Source organism: Homo sapiens, chromosome 6 (assembly GCF_000001405.40).
Source record: "Homo sapiens chromosome 6, GRCh38.p14 Primary Assembly".
Classification (NCBI taxonomy): Eukaryota; Metazoa; Chordata; class Mammalia; order Primates; family Hominidae; genus Homo; species Homo sapiens.
Genome location: NC_000006.12, coordinates 140,760,312 through 140,784,238, shown reverse-complemented (window position 1 = coordinate 140,784,238; position 23,927 = coordinate 140,760,312). Strand labels below are relative to the sequence as shown.

At 35.0% G+C, this 23,927-nt stretch overlaps 1 long non-coding RNA gene and 1 pseudogene across 5 annotated transcripts in view; both read right to left on the bottom strand.

The window, feature by feature from the left end:
* The window catches only part of LOC105378027 (uncharacterized), a 246,946-nt gene that overhangs the window by 1,197 nt on the left and 221,822 nt on the right, over window positions 1-23,927 (bottom strand). For 2 of the 5 annotated variants that reach the window (XR_001744385.2, XR_001744388.2), the window contains 2 exons: window positions 16,326-16,458; window positions 886-1,035 (listed from right to left, as the gene is read on the bottom strand). This is a non-coding gene — a long non-coding RNA (uncharacterized LOC105378027). Of the gene's footprint in view, window positions 1-885; window positions 1,036-16,325; window positions 16,459-21,108; window positions 22,243-23,927 lie in introns of those variants that run through there. The other 3 variants (XR_001744387.3, XR_007059791.1, XR_943073.4) reach the window with 2 other exon arrangements.
* RPS3AP24 (RPS3A pseudogene 24) lies at window positions 21,977-22,699 on the bottom strand (annotated as a pseudogene).

The following is a 23,927-nucleotide window of genomic DNA, read 5'->3' as shown; positions in this document are numbered from 1 at the left end:
AGTAAAACCATCAGGCATTAGCTATTATTCCTGATGCTCTCCCATGCTCCTTCTCCACCCCCTGACAAGCCCCAGTGTGTGTTGTTCCCCTTCCTGTGTCCATGTGGTCTCATTGTTCAGCTCCCACTTATAAGTGAGAACATGTCGTGTTTGATTTTCTGTTCTTGCATTAGTTTGCTAAGGATAATGGCTTCCAGTTCCGTACATGTCCCTGCAAAGGACATGGTCTCGTTCCTTTTTATGGTTGCATAGTATTTCATGGAGTATATGTATCACATTTTCTTTACCCAATCTGTCATTGATGGGCATTTGGGTTGATTCCATGTCTTTCCTATTGTGAATAGTGCTGCAATGAGCACACATGTGCATGTATCCTCATAATAGAATGATTTATGTTCCTTTGGGTATATATCCAGTAATGGAATTGCTGGATCGAATGGTATTTCTAGTTCTAGGTATTTGAAGAATCACCATACTGTCTCCCAAAAGGGTTGAACTAATTTACATTCCCACCAACAGTGTAAAAACATTCCTATTTCTCTGCAGCCTTGCCATCATCTGTTGTTTCTCAACTTTGTAACAAATGCCATTGTGACTGGTGTGAGATGGTATCTCATTGTGGTTTTGATTTGCATTTCTCTAATGATCAGTGATGTTGAGTTTTTTTCGATATGTTTGTTGGTTGCATAAATGTCTTCTTTTGAGAAGTATCTGTTCATGTCTTTTGGGAGGCTGATAATTATTAGTCATCATTTTTGGTAACTAATTCTACTCAATGGAGAACATTTCCATATTTTTAATGCCTCTGCCATAGTAATATTACAAAATGAAAATACAGAGCTGACAATCAGAAAGTTTGGTCATTTAAATAAAGACAGAATTTACCATTTTGGAGAGATGTGAATTTGAAGGAATCCCAAATGGGCAGTGGTTTCCTCCCTCCTTCCCTCTTGTTACACTCAATGTACATTGAGCTCGAAAGAGCTATCTTTGTTTATCAGGTCAGCATAGGATCTGTCCTTAATTTTCACATACCTAAAATAGCCAAAGTATACAATCAAAGAGCAGAATGGTGACTGCCAGGGGCAGAAGCAGGAAGGATTTGGAGCTGCTAATCAACAGGCAAAGTTACAGTAATGAGAGATGAGTAAGTTCTAGAGATATGCTGTATAACACTGCCCCTGTAGTTAACAGTGTTGCTTTGTACACTTAAAAGTTTAAGAGAGCATATCTCATGTTGTGTTCTTGCTATAATAAAATACTTTTTTCAAAAAATGAGATAATTCAATGTCCTTAAAATGCCTTTTAAAAGACTAATATTGGCTTGACTAAGTGTGTGTATAGTTACCATAATCCCAATATGTGAGTTAGCGCATAAAACTTCCATGAAAAATTCAACTCATTATACACCATACAATTTTGTCCCTAAAAAGAATCATCTTTGTTCATAGACATCCAAGTTATGTTTCTATACTCTCCCTTTGATTCTACATTAAATAAATATACTCTAAATACTACTTTTTAAAATAAAAGAGACTAATGTATTGGAGGGTTATCCTTGTACATCCTTGAAACTGAAGAAATTTGGACTGAGCAAGGTGGCTCATATGTGTAATCCTAGCACTTTGGGAAGCCGAGGTAGGAGGATTGCTTGAGGCCAGGAGTTCCAGACCAGTCTGGGCAACATAGTGAGAGACTATCTCTACAAAAATAAAAAATATATAAATAAAAATAACCAAGCATGGTGGCACTTATGCCAATTGTATTCCTAGCTACTCAGGAGATTGAGGTGGGAGGATCACTTGAGTCCAGGAGTTCAAGGCTGCAGTGAAGTATTATCATGCGACTGCACTTCAACCTGGGCAACAGAATGAGACTCTGTCTCTAAGAAAGGAAAGAAAAGAAAAGAAATTTGGACAAAATATCCAAAGCTATTCTAAAACTATTGATAAGCATAGACTAATTTCTAGATATGCAGATATTTTCTGGTCTAGAATATGAAACATCAAACTCAATCACCTAATGAGAAAGGATAACTTAAAGAAATAAGGCAGCCTGAACCCTGGATCTAGAGATTCAACTCAGCACTAATGCTACTGACAGTTTTCTATCTATTCTTGAATTTCTTCTCCACGTCACATGTCCCTAAGGTGCCTCAAGATCAGCTACTGTGTAGCATTAATCTTACATTTTAACCTTTCCATGTGAAGAAGTCTGCCATTTAGCTTACATGAGTGTAGATACATGGCAAGTTTTTTAATCACTGAATTTGCACATGGGGACCTATGTCATAGATTCTAAATAGGTTGATTATCTCCATTATAGGTCATATTTGATGACCTTGAGATGTCATATAATTATGGTCAGAATGACTTTGACTTATTTAAAAACTCTCAGTTCTTTTGGAAATATCCCCATTATTCTTAAACTGTAGAATTATAATTTGCTGATTTGACTTGCCTGGGACTTTTTTTCTTGGGAGCCAAAAATCTTTACAAAGGACACCTGTCTCAGGTTTGTCCTAAGCCAATTATAATCTTATCTTGGATTCAATAACTATTAACAAACAAATGTGAGATGACTAGGTAGGTCAAAGTATAATAAATTACTAGTCATGCATAGGTAGTTCATTTCTTTTTTGTTCATGTACTACTCTCTAATCAACAAGGCTTTCAATATTTATTGTAGAATCATATCAAATTGTTAAATAGCTTTTATCATCTCAGGCCTTAATGCTGTTTTTAAAAAGTATTTAAAATTTTATATAATATTAAAATATTTAATGAGTTGCTATAAAATAATGCCATTTGAATCCCCATTCAAAATAATAGTGCCTAGGTTAATATTCAAGTAGGTTTTAATAAACATATTTAATTAGTGGTTAAAATCAACACTCTATAAATACATAGATCCCAGAGTCCTATTTACTTGAAATATTGATAGAAAATAGTAATGACATATGAGCAAGTTAAAAGCATTTTGTTTTGAGTTTTTCCCACTCTTCCCTTCCCTTTCCAAAGACAGAGGAGCCTCACCTTGTGGCCTCCACCACCACAGGCCCATGGGGACAACTGCCAGACTACTGCCCATGTTCCCTTAAGGCCCAAGGGCTTTTCAGTTGGCTTGGAGTGAATGCTGCCTGGCTTGGGATTCACCCTTCAGGGCTGTGAGCTCTGCTCTGGCCCAAGGCAGGTCCAGAAATGCCGTCCAAGAGCCAAGTCCTAGAGGCAGGGACTCCAGGGGCCTACTTGGTACTCTACCTCTCTGTGGCTGAGCTAGTACCTAAGCAGAAAGGCAAAGTCCCCTTTACTTTTCCCTTTGCTTTTCATAAGCAGAAGAAGTCTTGCCCCATAGCTTTCATAGCTGGGAATATGCTGAGTCTCACTTGAAACCAGCAAGTCTCAGAGTCTCAAACAAGGCCCTCAATGTAGTACCTGGGTGTCACTGCTGGGCTCTTCAGTTAGCAGATGCTGAATCCTGCCAGAACTGCATCCTTCCCTTGAAGGCAGTGGGCTCCCTTCTGGCTCAGGGTGTGTCTAGAAATGTTCATTGGGAGCTAGGGACTGGAATGGGGGCCTCATGACTTTGACTTGTGTTATATCCTGCTGTGGCTGAGCTGGTATCCACGACGCAAGACAGAGTCCTTCCCACTCTTCCCTCTCCTCTCCTCAAGTTAAACAAAGGGGTCCCTTTTGGAGCCAGGAGCTGTGCAACCTGGGGTTAGGGGAGGGGTCAAGCCAGCACTCCCTTAGCTGGCTCAACTGATGTCTCAGTAGGTAGTTGGCCCTACTCACCCAGTCCCCTGGCTCTGAGCCCAGTTCAGCACTAGGACTCACCTAGGAATTGCAGTCTGTGTGGCTTAGGCTGCCTTTCAAGATTATTTAGAACCCCGGAGCACTTTAGCCTGCAGTGGCGAGGCTTGTGGAAACTGGAGTTCAGACTACTGGGATGGAAGACTCCCCTCTGGCTAGGGCTGGCTAAAATGCTACCTCTGTGGGTGAGTGTCAGCTGAGTTTGCTCTGGGTTTCCTTTCTGCTCTAACAGGACAGCACTGATTGCTGTGCTCTGTCTCTCCCTAGTGCACAGAAACGCGCCCCTTGCACCATACTGTGGCTGACAGGGGATGGGGAATGGGGGGATGATCATAATTCAAGACTTTTTTCTGCCTCTTCAGTGCTTCTTTCAGCGATATGAAGTTAAAACCAGCTCACCTGATTGAGTGCTCACCTGATTTTGGTTTTTATGAAGGTGCTTTGTGTGTGTGTGTGCGCGCGCATGTGTGTATGTGTGTGTAGATAGTTGTTACGTTGTTGTCCTTGCCCAGGGGGTTGTTGTGGGGAACGACTGGTGGAGCCTTCTATTCTGCCGTCTTGCTCCACTAATAAAGTAGAGCTTTTAACTTGTTTATTGACCATTGGATATCCCCACCAACAATGTTTCTGTTCAACTCCCTTGACATTTTTCCATTTGCTTGGATAATTTTGTCTTAGTTGAAATTTATTGTAAAAGCAGGATATGAATATATTTTCCCATTATGTACCTTGTTTTGCATTTTGAGATTCTTAATTTATGTATTATTAGTTAAAAGAGAAATCAATGTTTTAATTTTTTCTTTATTACTAATTCTTTCTTTGTCCTGTTTATGTGGCAATGCACTTATCCTGTTTGCATGACACATTCTTGGTTCATGCCTCAGCATATTTGTTAATAGCTCCTCCCTTTCTCTGTCAAAACTTGTTCCAGATAGAACGTTGAATTGCATAGTCATACTATGTTTAATACATTTTTACCTTGAGTATAATGATTTTTTCTTATATTATTGTCTAAAAGATGTGTCGTTTTCTCTTTTATATTTATGTAAAAATCCATTTAGAAAAGTTTTTGTTTATGTGATAAGAAAAAGTAAATTTACGTTATTTTCTTCCACGGTTAAACAATTGATACAATATTATTTATTGAAAATATTATCCTTTATCTTTATCCTTATGCCACTTCAATACATTGCCATATGTTTAGTAAATAAACTAATCAGAATATTCTCAAGTCTATTTCTGATCTATCCTGGTCCATTGGTCTTTTTATATATATCCTATATATCCTGAGTCAATGCCATGCTATTTTATTTAATATAGCTTTATGATGAGCTTTCATATCCAGGAAAGCAACATTTTCCACCATGATCTTCTCCTTCAAGAATGAGTTGATTCTTCTTGATTATTTATAGTTTCTTAATAACATTGTGAAATTCTTAAAAAAATGAAATTTTGAGTGGAATTGCATTTAGCTCATTTAAATTTGGGGATATTTGACAGCTTTAAAATTTTGAATCTTTCAATTTTATGTGAACATCCCTTATGTATTAACATTTTAGAATATTTAGTATCTTCAAGATCTGTGGTAACATCCTCTTTTTGTATTACTGACACTGATTTTTTGTACCTTCTCTCATTTCTTGATCACTTTCATCAGACAAAATCATTAAAGAACCACATTTTTACTCTATTGACTCTATTTTACAACCATTTTCTATTTACTAATTTATACGCTTAATTTTATCTTTCCCTTCTTGTATATTTTGGCATTTAATTTTGCGATGTTTTTCTAATTTAAGAAGTTAAGTCATTGAGTTAGCTTTTCTTGTTTTCTTAAATAAGCATTAAAGCCATAAATTTTCCTGTAAGTATAGCTTCTCTATATCTCATAACTTCTGATGTGTAATAATTTATCATGATTAATCTAAACTATTATTATTCCCATTTTGATTTCATTTTGATCTATGGCTTATGTAGAAGTACATTTCTTAATTTCCAAATTATGATTTTTTTAGTTATCTTTTTTGATTTATAGTTTGAGTTATTGTACTCATAAAACATATTGTAATAATTTTACTTTTTATAATTAATTGAGGCTTGCTTTGTGGTGAAGGATACAGTCAATTTTTTAAAAAGTTACACGTGCAATTGAAACTATTGAGCAACTTGCTTTGTGTATATTTACAATGTTTCACGTTTATCAAGTAAGTCAAATTTGCTAATTATATGAAATTTTCTATATTTTTGTTGATTTTTTTGTCTATCAGTCACAGGGAGAAGTTTATTAAAATCTCTCACTATCACCGTATATTTGCCCTTCAGTTTTGTAAATATTTGTTTTATTTCTATTGGAGAATATGTTATAGGCTTATAGACCTTGGGATGTTTACATGTTCTTGGTGAAATTAATATTTTATCATTATCATGTTTCTTTTTATATATATGTCAGCGTATTTGTGTTTGTGTGAGTGTATACTTGTGCACACACTCTAATAGCCATTGTCTTTTAATTTGCACAATAGCTGAGTTGAAATGAATGTAATTATGTACACGTTTGAGTTTAAATCTACCATCTTGCTATTTGCTCTTTATTTGTCCCCCTGCTCTGTTTTTTTTTTTTCCCCCTCGTTCCTTTATCTTTAGGACAATTATGTGTGCATGTGTGTGTATTTAATTTATTCTTTGGGACAGTCATGTGTGCATATGTGTTTGTATGTGTATGTATTTAACTATATTTCCTCCTCTATTATTTTCAGAATTTTTTACTCTTTCATTATAGTGTTAGTGCTTAGCCGAGAGATTACAACATACATTTTAAAATGACCTATGTATACTATTCATGTGTACTTCTGGCTTATTCCTGGGCAATGTAAGCAACTTAGAACAATTTAAATCAAGTCACTTTCTCACAAATCGTATGCCTTTGAACTCCTATATTTAATTTGGTATATACTTTAAAAGAAACAAGCCATAATCATTGCTTATACAGTCAATATTGATTTAGATTTGCTCTTTATTCCTCTGATTTTCCAACAGAGATAATTTTCTTTATGCTTGAATATTTTTTAGTATGCCCTTTAGTATGGCTCTTTAGGGATTAGTTCTTATAACTTTTATTTGTCTAACAAATCTTTAGATACTTTTGGTTTTGCTCATCAAGTTGCTTAGGAATAATTTATGTACAATAATTACATCTCTTTACAGTGTACAACTTTTTGAATTTTGACAGGTATAGGAACTCACAAAAATAGCACTAAAAAATAAGGTAATAGAACTTTTACATCACCCCAAAAAGATTCCTCATAGCTCCTTGTTTCTCTCTGTGTCCCTGGGCCTAAGCTACCACTGATTGGAATTCTTCATGCCATATTAGGCTAGTTTTCATGTTACACAAATTATAGCTTTGTGTTTTTTATTTATCTGGCTCCAGATCCTTCTTCTCCCTCTTATATAATGCATCTACTCAGCAATCACGTCCTTTTTAATATAAAATTTATTTTTCTTTAAGGGGAAAGTTATTTTGGAATTTTTATTAATGTATAATATCATCTTGGCCGGGCGCGGTGGCTCACGCCTGTAATCCCAGCACTTTGGGAGTCTGAGGCAGGTGGATCACGAGGTCAGGAGATCAAGACCATCCTGGCTAACACGGTGAAACCCCATCTCTACTGAAAATACAAAAAATTAGCCAGGCGTGGTGGCGGGCGCCTGTAGTCCCAGCTACTCAGGAGGCTGAGGCAGGAGAATGGCGTGAAACCTGGGAGGCGGAGTACAGTGGCACGATCTCGGCTCACTGCAAGCTCACTGCAATCTTGCAGTGAGCCGAGATTGCACCACTGCAATCCAGCCTGAGGGACAGAGCAAGACTCCGTCTCAAAATCAAATTTGTTTTTGTGTCCTGTTTGATCCACATTGAAGATATTTTCTTTTGTTTCTATGTCTATTTGTTTAATTTGTTGGTTTTATATTTGTTTCTTTAATATTCCTATTAAGTAATTGGTTACTTGCAAATAATAAATGACCAGATTATAAACATTTTATATTGTGTGTCACAGTTATTTACCAGAGATTCACAGTATTGGCAAGATTGATGTGGCATGTATGAAGTCTTTAAGGTTTTCAAAGTGTCTAAGAGGAAATCTATGTTTTAAAAATACAACAAATTTGTATTACATATGCTTTACAAGTAGTATCTAAAAAATGAGTCCTCTGGCCAGAAAACTATTCTTAATATCTAAACCAAAACACTATAGTTTTATAAATCTGTAATAGTATTTCATAAAATTCCAAAAAGATCCAGTATCTCTAAAAAGAAATCTTATTTAAGATTTTCTTTTTTTAATAAAAGGGCAAAAGATAGATGTCATATAAACTTATATGGCAAGACTTACAGATAAAACATTTCATCTCAGAACCCTAGTGAGTACTCTTTCATTCATTCAGCAAGTATTTAAAATCACCTTCTGTTTTTCAGAAACTATTCTGTTAGCAGACAAAAGACACTGCCTTCATGAAACTTATATTCTAATTAGAGGAGATAGATCATAAACATAATTATATGCAAATTACATAATATTTATGAAAGAAATAAGTGCTACAAAAATAAAGCAAGATAAAGAGAATGAAGGGAACTGGCAGAAGAATTGCAATTTACGTAAAATTGTAAGTGGTAAGTCCTCATTGAAAAAGTAATATTTTTGAAGGGAAGGATTTATTTCTACTATAAAATTATAATAGCTAAGAAATCAGATTGGTAGAATATATGTTAGAGGCATTCTATTTTGATGGAAACTGGACCTATGCCTGTAACTTCAGTGGTCCAGATTTCCTTTGAAGTTTTTACATTAAGGAATAAGTACTTAATAATAGCAGCAAGAGACACAATATAAAATATTTATAATATGGTTATTTATTATTTGCAAATAACCATTTACTTTACAGGCATATCAAAGACACAATCAAATATAAAACGAACAAATTAAACAAAGAGACACTAAAACAAAATGACATGTCTTCAATGTGGATCAAACAGGACACAAAAACAAACAACAAAAATGAATGCATTCAGATTTGTGCACACACGTGTGTGGAGTAAGAAGACTACAACTGGTTTTATGACATTAACATGCAGTCAGGAAAACCTCTGATTTAGATTATAGGCTTGAGAGCAAAGGGCGGGAATGGTTTGGTCACTAACTTGCCTGATGATTAACTGACATAATCTTGTTCAACTTTTCTATTTGTGGGCAATTGTATATGTGGCCATTGAATTAAAAAATGAAAGCTTGTGTTGTTTTGGTAAAATATGGAGCAGAAAAAAATTATTTCTACAGGACTACAGTAAAGACTAATATTTTACTTAACATATTTTATGAATACTCACTTTTTGACATTGGCAAGTGTTCATTTCTTACCACATTCTTGAGCAAAATAATATATCCTTTTTTAAAATAAATGAAAATTAACCTTATTTCACATTAACTCAAACTTTGAACCTTTTTATGGCAAATCCCCCATACATAACTACTCCAGCTGACACCTTCTTCATAAGAAATATTCATTGAATTCTGTTTGAATACCATATATCCAGTGAACAAGTGAGTGTCCTCATTATTCATGAATCAGATAGCACCCCAAGTGTACCCAGCATTAAATTGCTTTTGAACCATCTGTAATCTCTAGAAATGTCTCCTTCCAAAATGCATTTTGCAGGAAAACTCAATTTGAATTCTGCATTTACTCTAGCAGCACACAAAAGTCTATAGATAGGCTTGAAGGTCATTTTGACATTGTTCCTTTAAATAAAACTTTTCTATATTTATGGAACAAAACCCAGGAATGTTCTACATGTCACAGGATAAGATGATAGGATGCCAGATTGGTCCTTTTCTGAATAATAATAAAGCAAACCCACCCTTCCTTTAAAAATAGATGCTTGTTCTTTCTAAAACAGAAACAACATACAGCTTTGAAAGAGACAAGCAGAAAGCCATGAAATGAGTCATCAGCTGTGTTAGGTTACAGTGGGTTTATCTATGACTGTGTGTGAAAAACCACTCAGAAGAAGTCAGCAAAAGTGCAGCCAATTGCTGAGAGCTAATCATTCCGGGTTATTTTTGGAGGAACATGGTGTTTGTAGGTAGCATTGACAGTTACCAATTATTGCCTCTACCTGGCAAAATGCATGGGTTTGGAACAGTTATCATGAAGGTGTTCTCAGCAAGAACTATATTTAAACTGCTGACGCCAGTAATTGTGGATAGCTCACCCAATCCTGAATTTGATCTTAAGTGTTTTACAGTATGCAGACAAATACACTTAACTGGGGCTTTCATCGTCCTCAAAGTGTGCCTGATAAACAGCTTGCACCAAAATCCATGTTTTACAATGTTCCTTTAACTGTCTAATTTCTGTTGAGTATCATGGTATTGAAAGGAACTCTTTTACTATGGTTGCTTCAGAAATATTTAGGTGTAAGATCCTATAATCAAATCACTTATAATACTCATATAAAGGCACCCTGGTGCATAATAATATCTATATTTGGTTTTACATGGATAATTTATAGCTATTGAGATGTAATAATAAACTTGCCTTGGGAAATATAACCAGGAAAATGAATGCATTTGTTTTATTTCTGTTGATTACCTTGAAGGTGCACAATATAAAAGAAAACATATTGTTGGTATCTTTGCCTTTATGGGGGAAAAACCTTCCTTGTTTGAGGTTGTTGTGGTGATTATTGCTATTAAGAGCATGTCAAAGAAGATTGGTACTTTTTGTTCAGACTTTCTACTTCCAATTTTCCCAGGGTACAAATAAAATTTAAAGGGAAAGAACTAATAAATTATAGGCACAGCATGACTACAAAGGAAACATATAAGTTCAGAATAAAAAAATAATGAATTAGTTCACATCAGTAGAGTGGAGAGCAAACAATTACTGACTGCACCTCAGTGGCTCTGACTCATTTCCACCCATGCCTACCCTCTAGGATCAGTGAGAGCAGTACTATTTTCCTCTTTTTTAATCTCTTTATTGGCTAAAAATGTACTATATTTTACAATGACTCTCAAGAGTCTTTATTCTAACTTTATAGGATAAAGATTTCCCAGATATATATAATTGTTTATTTTGATGAAAAGTACTTCTATTTCTGTTCATTTGGATTTTAGCTGACAAAACAAAGTAAATTTGGAAAAAATACATGGAACTATAAAGAGGAAGTTTTAAAATAAATTATTTCCATAAAAGGGTGATCTCCATTGCCTAAAGGATTTTAAGTACACCAAAGAAGTTAATAATTACAATAGTTGATTCTGTTGACTATCATAAATGACACTAAAATGTGGAGAACAACTCTGACTAGGTTAACATTATTTGATTGGTTATCTTACCCTTGTTCAATTCTTTTTTTTGCCTATGGTTTTGTAATTTATGAAGTTGAAAAAATAACAATTACGTTAACTTTTTTTTGCTGTTGATTTTGGAATAAGTTAGTTGCATATGTTAAAATGGCTTTCTTGAAGAATGAATGTAGCAGCCTACTGCTGCAATAAAGATGTCCCTGGGAATTGTCATTTTTTCACTGTAAAGATAACACAAGATGTTATCTTGGTTCTAAAGAACACGTAGTTTCTTTAATAGGAACTATTTTAAAGTAACTCATATTCAGCTGCTGGGATTGTATTACATTCCAAATCAAATCTTGCTAATGCTTTCTCATCAGATAGAGTCCTCCTGTCCTTATATTGTTAATGAACGAACATACTGCAGGAGTCTCTGAAGAGCCTATGAATCTTGGTTTGTATAGGGGGGATTTTATACAATAAAGTCTCTTGTCTATTTTAAACAAAAATAAGAATGTGGTCTGCTTAATATAGAAACGAATGTGTAAATTTCTGAGCAGCTGAATTCTGTATCAATTTAGCCATCCACTCATTAAGGAAACAAACTTTTTCATAAGAGTGAATCAAGTATTTTCTCAATTCTTAGTATTATCATTCAGATATGCAATTTTTCTATAATGTATTTTATGACCAAGTTGTCTTTGTCCAAAAAGTCTGAGATAAAAAATAATTTTATATTTTGCATTACTTAAAATACTACCTGATATGGTTTAGATCTATGTCCCCACCCAAATCTCATGTCAAATTGTAATCCCCAATGTTGGATGTGGGGTCTGGTGGAAGGTGATTAGATCATGGCAGTGGTTTCTCATGGTTTAACACTACCCCCCTTGGTGTTGTCCTGGAGAGAGTGAGTTACTGTGAGATCTGGTCATGTAAAAGTATGTAGCACTTTCCTTCCCTCTCTCTTCTTCCTGCTCCATCCATGTAAGACGTGCCTGCTTCCCCTTCACCTTCTGCCATGATTGTAAGTTTTTTGAGACCTCCCAGCCATGCTTCCTGTACAGCCTGCAGACATGTGACCCAGTTAATCCTCTTTTCTTTATAAATTACTCAGTCTCAGGTACTACCTTATAGCAGTATAAGAACGGACTAATACACTACCAATCTACAACTGGATCACTCAAACATTTCTGCCAGCAATGTAAAATGGACAGTCCCACTGACAGTTTCATAACAGTCTGTTTCTTTAAATGTTAAACATGTTAAACAACTTGTTAATTTTTGCAAGTTCAAATGTTAAACAACCAGTTTCATAAAATGTTAAACAAGCTGTATTAGTCTGTTTTCGTGCTGCTGATAAGGACATACCTGAGACTGGCAATCTATAAAAGAAAAACATTTAATGGGATTTACACTTCCACATGGCTGGGGAGGCCACACAATCATGGTGGAAGGCAAGGAGGAGTAAGTCACCTCTTACATGAATGGCAGCAGGCAAAGAGAGAGCTTGTGCAGGGAAACTCTCATTTTTAAAACCATCACATCTCATGAGACTCATTCACTATCACGAGAACAGTGCAGGATAGACCCGCCCCCATGATTCAATCACCTCCCACTGGGTTCCTCCCACAACATATGGGAATTGTGAGAGTTACAATTCAAGATGAGATTTGGGTGGGGACACAGCCAAACCATATGACATACTAATAATACAGCCCAGTAATCACACTCCTGAGTGTTTATCCTAGAAAGATAAAATCTTGTGGATAGGAAAATCTTTATACAATGTACTCAGCAGCTTTCTTTGCAAATCCCAAACTAGAAACCACCCATGTGTCCTTCAGTGAGTGGATATGGATGGATTTAAAGAGGCATGGTACAGTCATACAATGGAAAACTACTCAGCAATATAAGAAACAAATAAATTATTGAGATAAAAACTTGGATCAACTCAAGGACATTATGCTCAGTGAAAAAAATCTCAAAAATTGCATAGTGTTGCATGACTCCACTTATACCATATTCTTCAAATGACGGAAATACAATGATGGAAAATGATCAGATAGAAGTTGCCAAGAGTTAGGAATGGGATAAGGATGTGACATAAAAAGGTAGCAAATGGGAGTTTCTTTGTAGTGATCAAGCAGTCTGACAGTGGTGATTACATGAATTTACCCATACAATAAAATTCCATAGTACTACATTCCTGGACCACACACATACTCTCTCTCTCTCTCACACACACACACACACACACACACACACACACACACACACACACACACAAAGTGTATGTAACAACCTATGAATTCTGAAAAAATCTGTAATTTAGTTAATCATTTTGTACCAATGTTGATGTCCTGGTTTTGAAATGACCCCTGGGTAAGTACAACATCATCATTGTAAAAACATGGGTGTAGGGTCCAGGGACTCTCTGTACTGCTTTTGTCACTTCTTGTGATTCTTAAATTTTTCAACATGAAAATTTAATCTCTATATTACCAAGATGTTATGAAAGTTTGCAATTGCTTATTAAGTTGCAGGCATTAGCTATTTTATACCTGTAAAAGAAGAATTGTTTTATCCCCATTTTATGATTGAAGAACTTAAAACTCACCAATATTTTTTTCATAAAGTCACACACATAGGAGCTGGGCCTATGAACAAACCCTGAATTTTTTTCCCCAAATTTGTACTATTTTTAGTCTTTCCATTCTACTCAATTGTCTCCTATTGTCACTAAATGTTTCTTTCTTTCTTTCTTTCTTTCTTTCCTTTCTTTTCTTTTTTCTTTTTCTTTTTTTTTTTTTTTGAGACGGAGTTTTGCTCTTTTGCCTAGGCTGGAGTGCAATAGCGCAATCTTGGCTCACTGCAACCTCTGCCTCCCGGGTTCAAGCAATTCTCCTGTCTAAGCCTCCTGAGTAGCTGGGAATACAGGTGCCCACCAATACCCCAAGCTAATTTTTGGTGTTTTTAGTGGAGATGGGGTTTCACCATGTTGGCCAGGCTGGTCTCAAACCTCTGACCTCAGGTGATCCACCCGCCTCAGCTGTCACTAAATATTTCTAAGGGTGGTGAAACTCATTTTACCACTTCATATCTAATTGGTTATCTAAGGCTTTCCTTTATTGTCTTCCACGAGAATTCAAATATAACACGTTCAAAGTTCTTTCTCAAATTTGGGAGAGGACTCAAATGCTCCAGACCTATACATCTGTCAGTTATTATCCAGAAGATTAGTAAAATCAAAGATCCCCATCTGAATTTTTTAAAAAGTGCTGCAAATAGTAGATCTGAAAATGAGCCATGGTCTCCTGAAAACAATTCAAGACACTCCCCCAATATCATCAATAATGTTCTTGAAAGCAGATTTTATTGGATGATCAAAATGTTAAGTTTTATGTATCATTCTATAACTTTTTTAAAAATAAAAGTTTTCATTGCTCAAAATCCTTAAAAATAAGTCAAGTACTTCATACATGTTGCAAAACAGTTGATAAATCATATTCTCCTATAGTGGTATTCTAAATATAAGGCATTTCAAAAATACTCACCTTGGCATAGCATAAATAGGGCAGGCAAAACATCTGTGTACCATAAAAAAAATTGAAGAATATAAAAACGATGACAGGATGGGCCATATAGTAAAACATTATGCACAGCATATTTAAACTAAATGCTAATATTGAAAATACAATACTTAATTATTCCATATGAGTATTTTGAGCCTTAAAACTAATGTACCTATAAAGGTGTGCTGGGTTTACATGTGAACATCCCAGTTTTTAATAGAATTTTGCTATTTAAATCTTGATGGACTTGTTAAAAAGAACTGTTAGGAAAATAGCTATGTCTAAGTTAAAAATAAAAACATCTAGTTGTATAAAATCTTTAAACACAAATTTTACTTAATGATGCAACATTAAAAATAAACAAATTTGGCACTTAACTTTAAAAACAGTTTAGTTATTGATGAATGCAAGAGTTTTAGCATGCTCATTATTTAGTTTTTAATCAATCCAAGTGTTTGTTCAAACTCATTAGTAAAGATTATTAAATGTGTTTTCACTACTTTTAATTAATCATTGATTGCTTTTGAGAAATATTTGATTTGGGGAACAGGATAGTTGTCTCATTTGAATTTTGTTACCAGTGGGCTAATCTACCTTTGTTTGTCATGTTATTTTTCCAAGGATAACCCAACACAGATAGTCACTTTCAGATCCCTATTTGTTGCTCATATGCTAGATAATTAAATAACAAAAGACAGGAAAATTTAACCTAGATGTAGAATATGGGCCTTTGCAACACTATATAGAAGGCCTAGAAGTTAATTGAAGTCACCCCTTTAACAATTATTTCATTTAATGAAAAGAAATAGAAACATTTAAAAGAAAGATCACATAATGGGTAAATAACCTAACATGATGTGGTAGAAAGCTAGCATTATATACAAAAGCTATAATGATAAAGAATTAGGTAAAGAAAGAAACCAAATAGATCATCAGTGTCTATTCTCAATGGATTCATGGATGATCTTCCTCCTTCTGCTTTCCTTTTCCTTTCTTTTATCTCTTTTATCAGTCATTTGCATGTATATGTGTGTGCATGTGTGTTGTTTGTTACCACAATACCAGGGGTTTGGTCTAGGTCCTGCTGCTTGCTGCACAGAAAGCCAATCACTGAGAAGACAAATATTGCCAAGGGAGAAGGCTTTAATCGGGTGCCGCAGCAAGGAGATGGGAGTTCAGTCTCAAATTCATCTCTCTGACTGATTAAAACTAGGGTTTTATACAGCAGGGAAGAAATGTAACAATGTTTAAGAAATCAGGAACTAGGGAGGGGCAAGGAGTTATCTGGTATGGTGATCTAGTGAATTTCAGTTCTTCGATACTTTTTTGAGAGAACTGAATATCCTTTCCTGAGGAAGGAACTCAGATAAAGCAAATACAAGTTTGAAGCTTTAACAACAGAAGGGTCAATTTCTATGTTTATCCAAAAACAACTGTCTATGGGACTAATATGGTTACATAATACCTATCAGATATAATTGCTTTATCTGCAAAAAGAAGGCAGTAACACAAACTATCTTACTTTGCTAAGGCTACCATAACAAATATAATATACTGGTGGCTTAAACAGCAGATATTTATTTTCTCACATTTCTGAATGCTGGAAGTCCAAGATCAATGTATTGGCAGATTTGGTTTCTCCTGAGGCCTTTTTCCTTGGCTTGCGGACAGCTTCCCTCTTGCTATGTCCTCACATGGCCTTTTCTTTGTGCACACGCATCCCTGATGTAAGAACACAGGTAAATTTGGATTAGCATCCCACCTTTATGACCTCATTTAACCTTAATTACCTCCTTAATCTCCAGTTTCAGTCACATGAATGGTTAGGGCTACAACATATGAATTTTGAGGGGACACAATTTAGTCCATCACACAAACCTTGAAAGATTTTTTTTTCAGAAGTTTATACTTCTTTTAGCAAGACGCCTCAACAAATAAGCTGGCATGATTTATATTTTTTTCTTGAGGAATTATAATGAAATGGTAAGTTGTAAAATAGATTAGTAGGTTTATCAGTTAGCTCTTGGTGCATAAGAAAACAACCCAATACCTAGTGGCCAGAAACAACTATTTATTTAGCTCATAATTTTATGGTTTGCTATTTGAGCTGGACTCAGCTGTGTAATTCATCAAGTCTCGGCCAGGCTTGGTTGATCTCAGCTAGGCTTGTTCAGGCATATGCAGTGAGCTGATGGATTGACTGGGGCTGGGAGGCTTATCATAGCCTTGTCTGGAATGGCTGGGATCTGTGGGGTCTCTCTCCATGTGGTCTCTCATCTTTCAGCACATGAGTCCAGGCTTGTCCACATGGATGTGAAAGAGTTCCAAGAACCACAAGAGAACAAGCTCCATGTGCACGTTCTTTTCAAGTCACTGCTTGTTTAACATTTGTTAATGTTCTTTTGGTCAAAGCAAGTCTCACAAGTCTCACAAACAACCCAGATTCAAGGGGTGAAGAAATAGAAGCCATGTGATGGAAAAATCTGCAATATCCCAATGTAAATATGTGATGACTGAAAGAGAAAGAATCTGTGGCATTTTAAATAAACTATCACAGAATCCCTGATCAATAGTCTTTAACAGAATGCTTCTGATCATCAATCAGGATGTCTGATCAAACCATGGAGTGCTAAGATCATAGAACTTACATCAATGGAATTATGTTCTGTAGTTATTTGGGATAGATAGGTAAACATACACAGAACAATGTGTTGTTGCTTTAGGTGTATTTTCTGAGGGCTTCTCAAAGAAAAACACTATTTGTCTATCCACTCTCTGGCCTCCTACTTCCTATTACCAGTATAATAGGTACAGAAAGTAGACTGATAATATAATGGTTTTGAGATCATCTTTGTGATAATATTAAAGTGTTGGGAACCTAACCCTAGGAAACCAACACCTGTATACAAAGCTCTACTCATTCAAGAATAAGATTTCTAAGTCTTAACATATGTGGTTTATATTGCCACATTTTTCTTTTTATTCTTTATTCCTTTCATAATAAGTAAGTGTTACATATTGCCTCAGAAGAGATTCAAATTCTGGAATGAAAGAAAAGAGTTACATCTTGATGTTTTACTTTAAAAATGTTTCTTGTGGTTAGTACTCAGAGGATACAGAAATATGTGATCAGTCAGAACAGATTTTTGTCTTCCCCTTGGATTAGAAATGGGTCTCCAAGTTCTGGAAGGTTTCAGTAGAGTTTTCATCTATACTTGGAATCTGAAAACAGAGGACATCTGTGACATAATATCCACTGATGAAGTCTGGAGAATAGACAATGTACCAGAGCATCTCTATGCCCTGTATGTGGGTAGCAGAATAAATTTTAATGTTCAGTATGTAGGCAAATGGGCCAAGGGCACCTCTTCCGAGTTTCAGTATGCTTCGGATGAGGATTACACCCAGCTGGGGCATAGACTTCATCAGGGAAGATTAAAGGACTTATAGAGGCTCTGCAGCTGTTATTGAGGGACAACAAAACACCTACCTTCAGCCATTGAAGCTGATTGCTCAAAGAGGAAAGGACAGATTCTTGCAGATGTAGCTTAAGCAGGTGAAGACTAGGGAGCAGAAGCCCCTACCAGAGCTTTGAACCTAGGAGCATAAATATCCTAGTCCTCATAGTCCTCAATGAGAAGTTTTATAGCTTGAACCATAGACCTTTTTACTAATTTTAACAATAATTTATCAAGGTGAAATTCATATACCGCAAAATTAAACATGAACAATTCAGTGGCATTTAAAGTATGGTATCTAGTTCCAAAACCATCATTTCCATCACTGGAAATTAAAACCATTACCCATCAATCAGTTTCTCTCCATTCCTTCCTGCACTCAGCCCCTGGAAACCACCAATCTGTGTTCTGTCTCTATGGATTCATCAGTTCTGGATATTTCATATACATGAAATCATAAAATGTGTAACTTTTTGTGTCATGCTTTTTTCACTTAACCAATTTTGGAGGTTCATTCATGTTACAGTTTGTACCATATATATCAGTACTTCATTACATTTCATGGCTGAATAATATTCCATTGTATAGGTATATCGAAATTAGATGATCAATTCTTCCATTGGTGGACATTTGGGCTGTTCTACCTTCTGAGTATTGTGAAAAATGCTGCTATGAAAATGGGTGTACATGTACTTGTGTTAGTACCTGTTTTCAATTATTTTGTGGATATACACTAGAGAGAAATTGAGGAATCATGTCATCATAACTCTATGTTTAACTTTTTGAAGAACCACAAAACTCTTTTCCACAGTGGCTGAATTATTTTGCATTTCTACTAGATCTTTCTTATTAAGCAGCTATTTCTAAAGACCTTGAGAATATTATGTTTAATTTATTTTTCTATTCAGAACTGATGCATACTAATTGCACATATTTATGGAGTACAATGTGATGTTTTAATGCAGGTATACATATTATAATGATCAAATTACTATATCCATCACACTGAAAACCAAATAGATAAAGTTGATGATCATAATTATCTCAAATATGACTCATAGAATATGGACGTAAGTTGAACATTTTTAACACTGACACAAGTATCTGTCAATCTGTATCTCTTCATCTGTCATCTATTAATTTGTCATCTATGTATCTATCACTCATCATCCATTTATTGATCTGTCTACAAGCACTATTTATTAGAGGTGAAATAATAAGAAATTTGCTTTACTACATAAAACAAAATAAACATTAATAAAAACCTGTATCACAACATAATACTACTGAGAAAATTCCTAGAACTTGACTAAAAGGTATATTAAGAGGCTGATAAATTTTTGTCAAATCCTCTGACGACAACTGGTAGAAAATGCTCTTTGAATCTGAAAACAATCATTGATTCTTGAAAAACCCCAATTTCATAGAAACACTCCATATAATTTTTCTAAGCATTTTAAGAAATTTAGATTTATGCTGCATCTATAAAAATATCTTTGTTTAGTTCAGACAGGAGATTTTTTAAAAGTACCAACCAGTAGTTACTTAAAAAATAATTTTAGTAAACTACTTTATATTCATAGTCTCACTTACACTGTGAAACTTCAATGAAACAGTGACGAGCATATTTTTTGTAGAGTATACACAAGCTGATAACAAAATTTCTTTCTTCCTTACTCATAATCTTATGTCCTGTTCATTTTTTCCTTTAACTTAGGTGGCAGTAAAAAATGTTTTCCAAATATGGCTATTTACTGAAATAATAGGGTAATTAGTTTGATTAAACTGATGACCAACTCAGGCAAACAAATTCTGTCAACACAATCTGTTTATTAACTTAGGGAATATTCATAAATTAATGCAAATTGTGTCCAAATGCAATAATTTATGTAGATAGATCCCTGGCCAACCATGGAAAGCTAAACAACTTTTCGGAATATGCTTAGAAACCAATTAAAAGATAAATTTGACAAAGAGGAAAGAAAGTCAATCATGGATAAGAATCCGATTCGTGTACATTAATTTCTTTTACGAAAGATGTGCAACTTGATTTGAATCTGAAAACATGACTGACAAGGAAAACAGATGTGGGAAGCAAAATAATAGCCCACCAAAGTTGTCCAATCCTAATCCTCCCACCTGAATCCTGCTAAATGTTATGTCGTGGCAAAGAGACTTTGCTGACGTGATTAGGGTAATGACCTTAACTAACCTGGAGTATCTGGTGGACCCAATCTGATCACTATGAGTCCTTTAGAAGTGGAAGATGGGGCAGGAGAAGACAGTCATATTGATGCCAGGTGAGATGAACTTGACTCATCATTGCTGACCTTAAAGGGGGATGTAGGTCAAGGAATATGGGAAGCTTCTAGAACCTGGAAAAGGCAAGGACACAGAGTGTCCCCTGGAAACTCCAGAAGGAAGTGGAACGTTGCTGACACCTTAGTTTTAGCCCAGTGAAACCTATGTCAAACTCCTGATCTAGAGACTTGTAGAATAATAAGGCACTAACTTTGTAGTAACTTGTTCCAGTAGCAACAGAAAACTAATACTTCAAATAAAACAGCAGTGAGTCAAGAGTGCAAATTCTAAGTTATGCCTTCTTTGTGGCATTATATTCATTATGTAACTACTTTATTTCCATTATAACACTCTAATAAAAGTAACAGCATTCGCACATCCAAGGTTTACCCCTGTAAAAAAATTAACAAAATAAACAAACTAGGGAAACCTATTAATGTAAATAAAGAAAATAAAAACAATCATAAATATAATACATTGCGCAAAATTGCTTTCATGATTAATTTGCTAAAGTTGAAAACATCAATGAAATGGATGATTTTCTAAATAAATATGTGATTTTATATACTACACAGAGAAGTCAGTGAATCAATAACTGACAATAACATTGAGAAACTTATAAAAATGTTTATTAATTTTTACGGAATTATTTTATTTTCTCACAGAAATGAATTAATTGGCATTTTATAAACTGTTCAGGTCATAAGAGATAAGAAGCTACATAAATCATAATATGAAAAAATAGATATGAATCCTATAAATAATTAGCATGGAAATAGAAGCATGAGTTAACAATGATCAGTATACTAATTTTCAAAAAGAAGTATAAAGACAATCAATATAAGCAGACTACTTAAACAATTTATAATATAAGTAAGTTAAATAAATACATTTCATTCTCATACAGTGTGACCAACTTGATTGGATATGCTAGAACACAAATTGGTATTCAAAAATGTTATAAGGAAAATTAACAAAAGATGTTTTATTTTCAAAGTAAATACACTTTAAACAAAATACATTATAATGAATGATGGAATATCAATATGTATTAAAATTATCAACTTGAGGAAGATGTCTGTTATTATCACTATTTGTAAGATTCCTTTTGAAAGTTATGTTTCATGAATTTAGAATAAAACAGAAATAAGAGAGCTACAGTGGAAGAAGACTAAAAGGCCATTATTTTATACAATGTGTATATGCACTAAAATACCAAGGAAATAAATTGAAAAACTTTGGACACAAAGAATAATTCAGTACAATGCCTGATAATAGGAGGTCTATAAATAGGTTTTCTGAGGCAGAAAATAGATTGCTAATATTGCCAAACAGAAAAACACTCAGAAGTCTTATCTATAGGAAAAGGGATGTATCTTTCTTACAATACAACAGAAAAAAATTATATAGAAAGCAATATCATGATGTTTTTTTTTCTTCACATACAGGATTTTTGTTTGTCACTATTAAACATCTGAATTTTAAACAGATTCTTGGACTGGCAGTTCATATCCATAAGCTTTTCAAGAACTACTACCTTCAAGTTTTCCCAGTTCAAACTTTGAATTTTCTAGTGAAGACATCATTGAGAGTATAAATAAATTGGCAAATCTTTTTATGACCTTTTAATGAGTTTTTCAAAGCTGCGTGGGATCCATTTATTAACTGCTTCTTTCAGGAAATCTCTCTGCACCTCTTGGGTGGGAAGCTTCATCATCTTCTTCTGGATTTGGCAGACCTGTTGGTGCTGAGAATAAGAGGTCTTCTGTATCTGATTGTTGTATTTTTTTTTTTTTTTTGTAAAACTAACACAGAATAGACAAATCAAATAGCCATTGGTAGTCTTGACATTGACGTGAACTTCAGGTATGGTCTGCCATTTTTTGACCGTGAAACACATTTTGTCACAAGTAAGATTCATGCCATGGACGTTAAGCAGTTTTTATCCTGAACATCCTCAGTAATTAGCTTGAACTTTCTAAATACAACATCATTCTTCAGATCAGAAAGGCTCACTTCAAAGATAGTACCCTTGAGATCATTAGATAAAATGTAGGTTCCTCGAGTCCTGGTGGCAAGCGTTTTTCTAATATTTCTTATATTGAACGTAGCTAGTGCTTTCATGCCATACCAGTCTTTCTTAGAAAATGGATCAAGCTGTTTCTTCTTGGCTCCCTTTTGCCACCATTTGTAAGGCATTTGTTGTTGCAACCACTGTGCTGCCACTCCTCATGTCATAATTTTTTCAAAATGTTTATTATAAGATTTAATTAATCCATTAAATTCATAGGTTAATTCAGTCCTAATAATTAGCCTGTGGAGACACTCTGGCTACTCAAGAATAAGTTTCTTAACATTTAGCTGTATTCTTGACAGAAGTAACAGAGCGTTATCAAGACATAATGAGAGAGTTTTAATGGAAAATTATAAAATAAACTCCATTTGTTATATTCTTACTGTATTGAAGAGTATAAGTCAAGTCAAGGTATTCTCCCACATGATGACTACCTGTTTTTGGCTAGAAAGCTCCAATATTAAGCCTTCTAATTAAGACTGGATAAATTACATGTTACGCGCTGAATGTGTCACCCCACAATTCATATGTTTAAGCCCTAACTTCCCATGTGATGGTATTGTGAGGTTGGATCTTTGGAGGGTAATTATGTTTAGATGAGGTCATGAGGGTGTTGCCCTTATAAAAATCAATGCCCTTAAAAGAGGAAGAAACACAAGATCTCTCTATCCTCACACATACACTGAGGAAAGCCTGTGTGAGGGCACAGCAAGAAGGCAGCTGAAGTCTGGAAGCACGCTCTCACCAGAGACAACATCTACAGGCATCTGGTTATTGGACTTCACAGCCTCCAGAACTGTGAGAATATATTTCTCTTGTTTAAGCCACACAGTCTGTGGTACTTTGCTATAGCAGTCCAAGCAAACTAAGATATTAAAGACACTACAGGCTGGGCATGGTGGCTCATGCCTGTAATCCCAGCACCTTGGAAGACCGAGGCGGGCGGATCACGAGGTCAGATCGAGACCACAGTGAAACCCTGTCTCTACTAAAAATACAAAAAAAAAAAAAAAAAATTAGCCAGGAGGGGTGGTGGGCGCCTGTAGTACCAGCTACTCGGGAGGCTGAGGCAGGAGAATGGCGTGAACCCAGGAGGCGGAGCTTGCGGTGAGCGGAGATCGTGCCACTGCACTCCAGCCTGGGCGACAGAGCGTGACTCTGTCTCAAAAGAAAAAAAAAAAAAAAAAGAAAGAAAAAAACACTACAGCTTATAAAATCTCATTCTAGATGCTAATTTGGAATACATGCTTCATTCCTGCCCTCTTCCCAGCTCAGAGCCATCTCTGCAGGTTAGATCTTTTAGTTAATCACCTCATCACTTTTTCAAAACTATTTTAAACAATAGAATATAGTAAGAA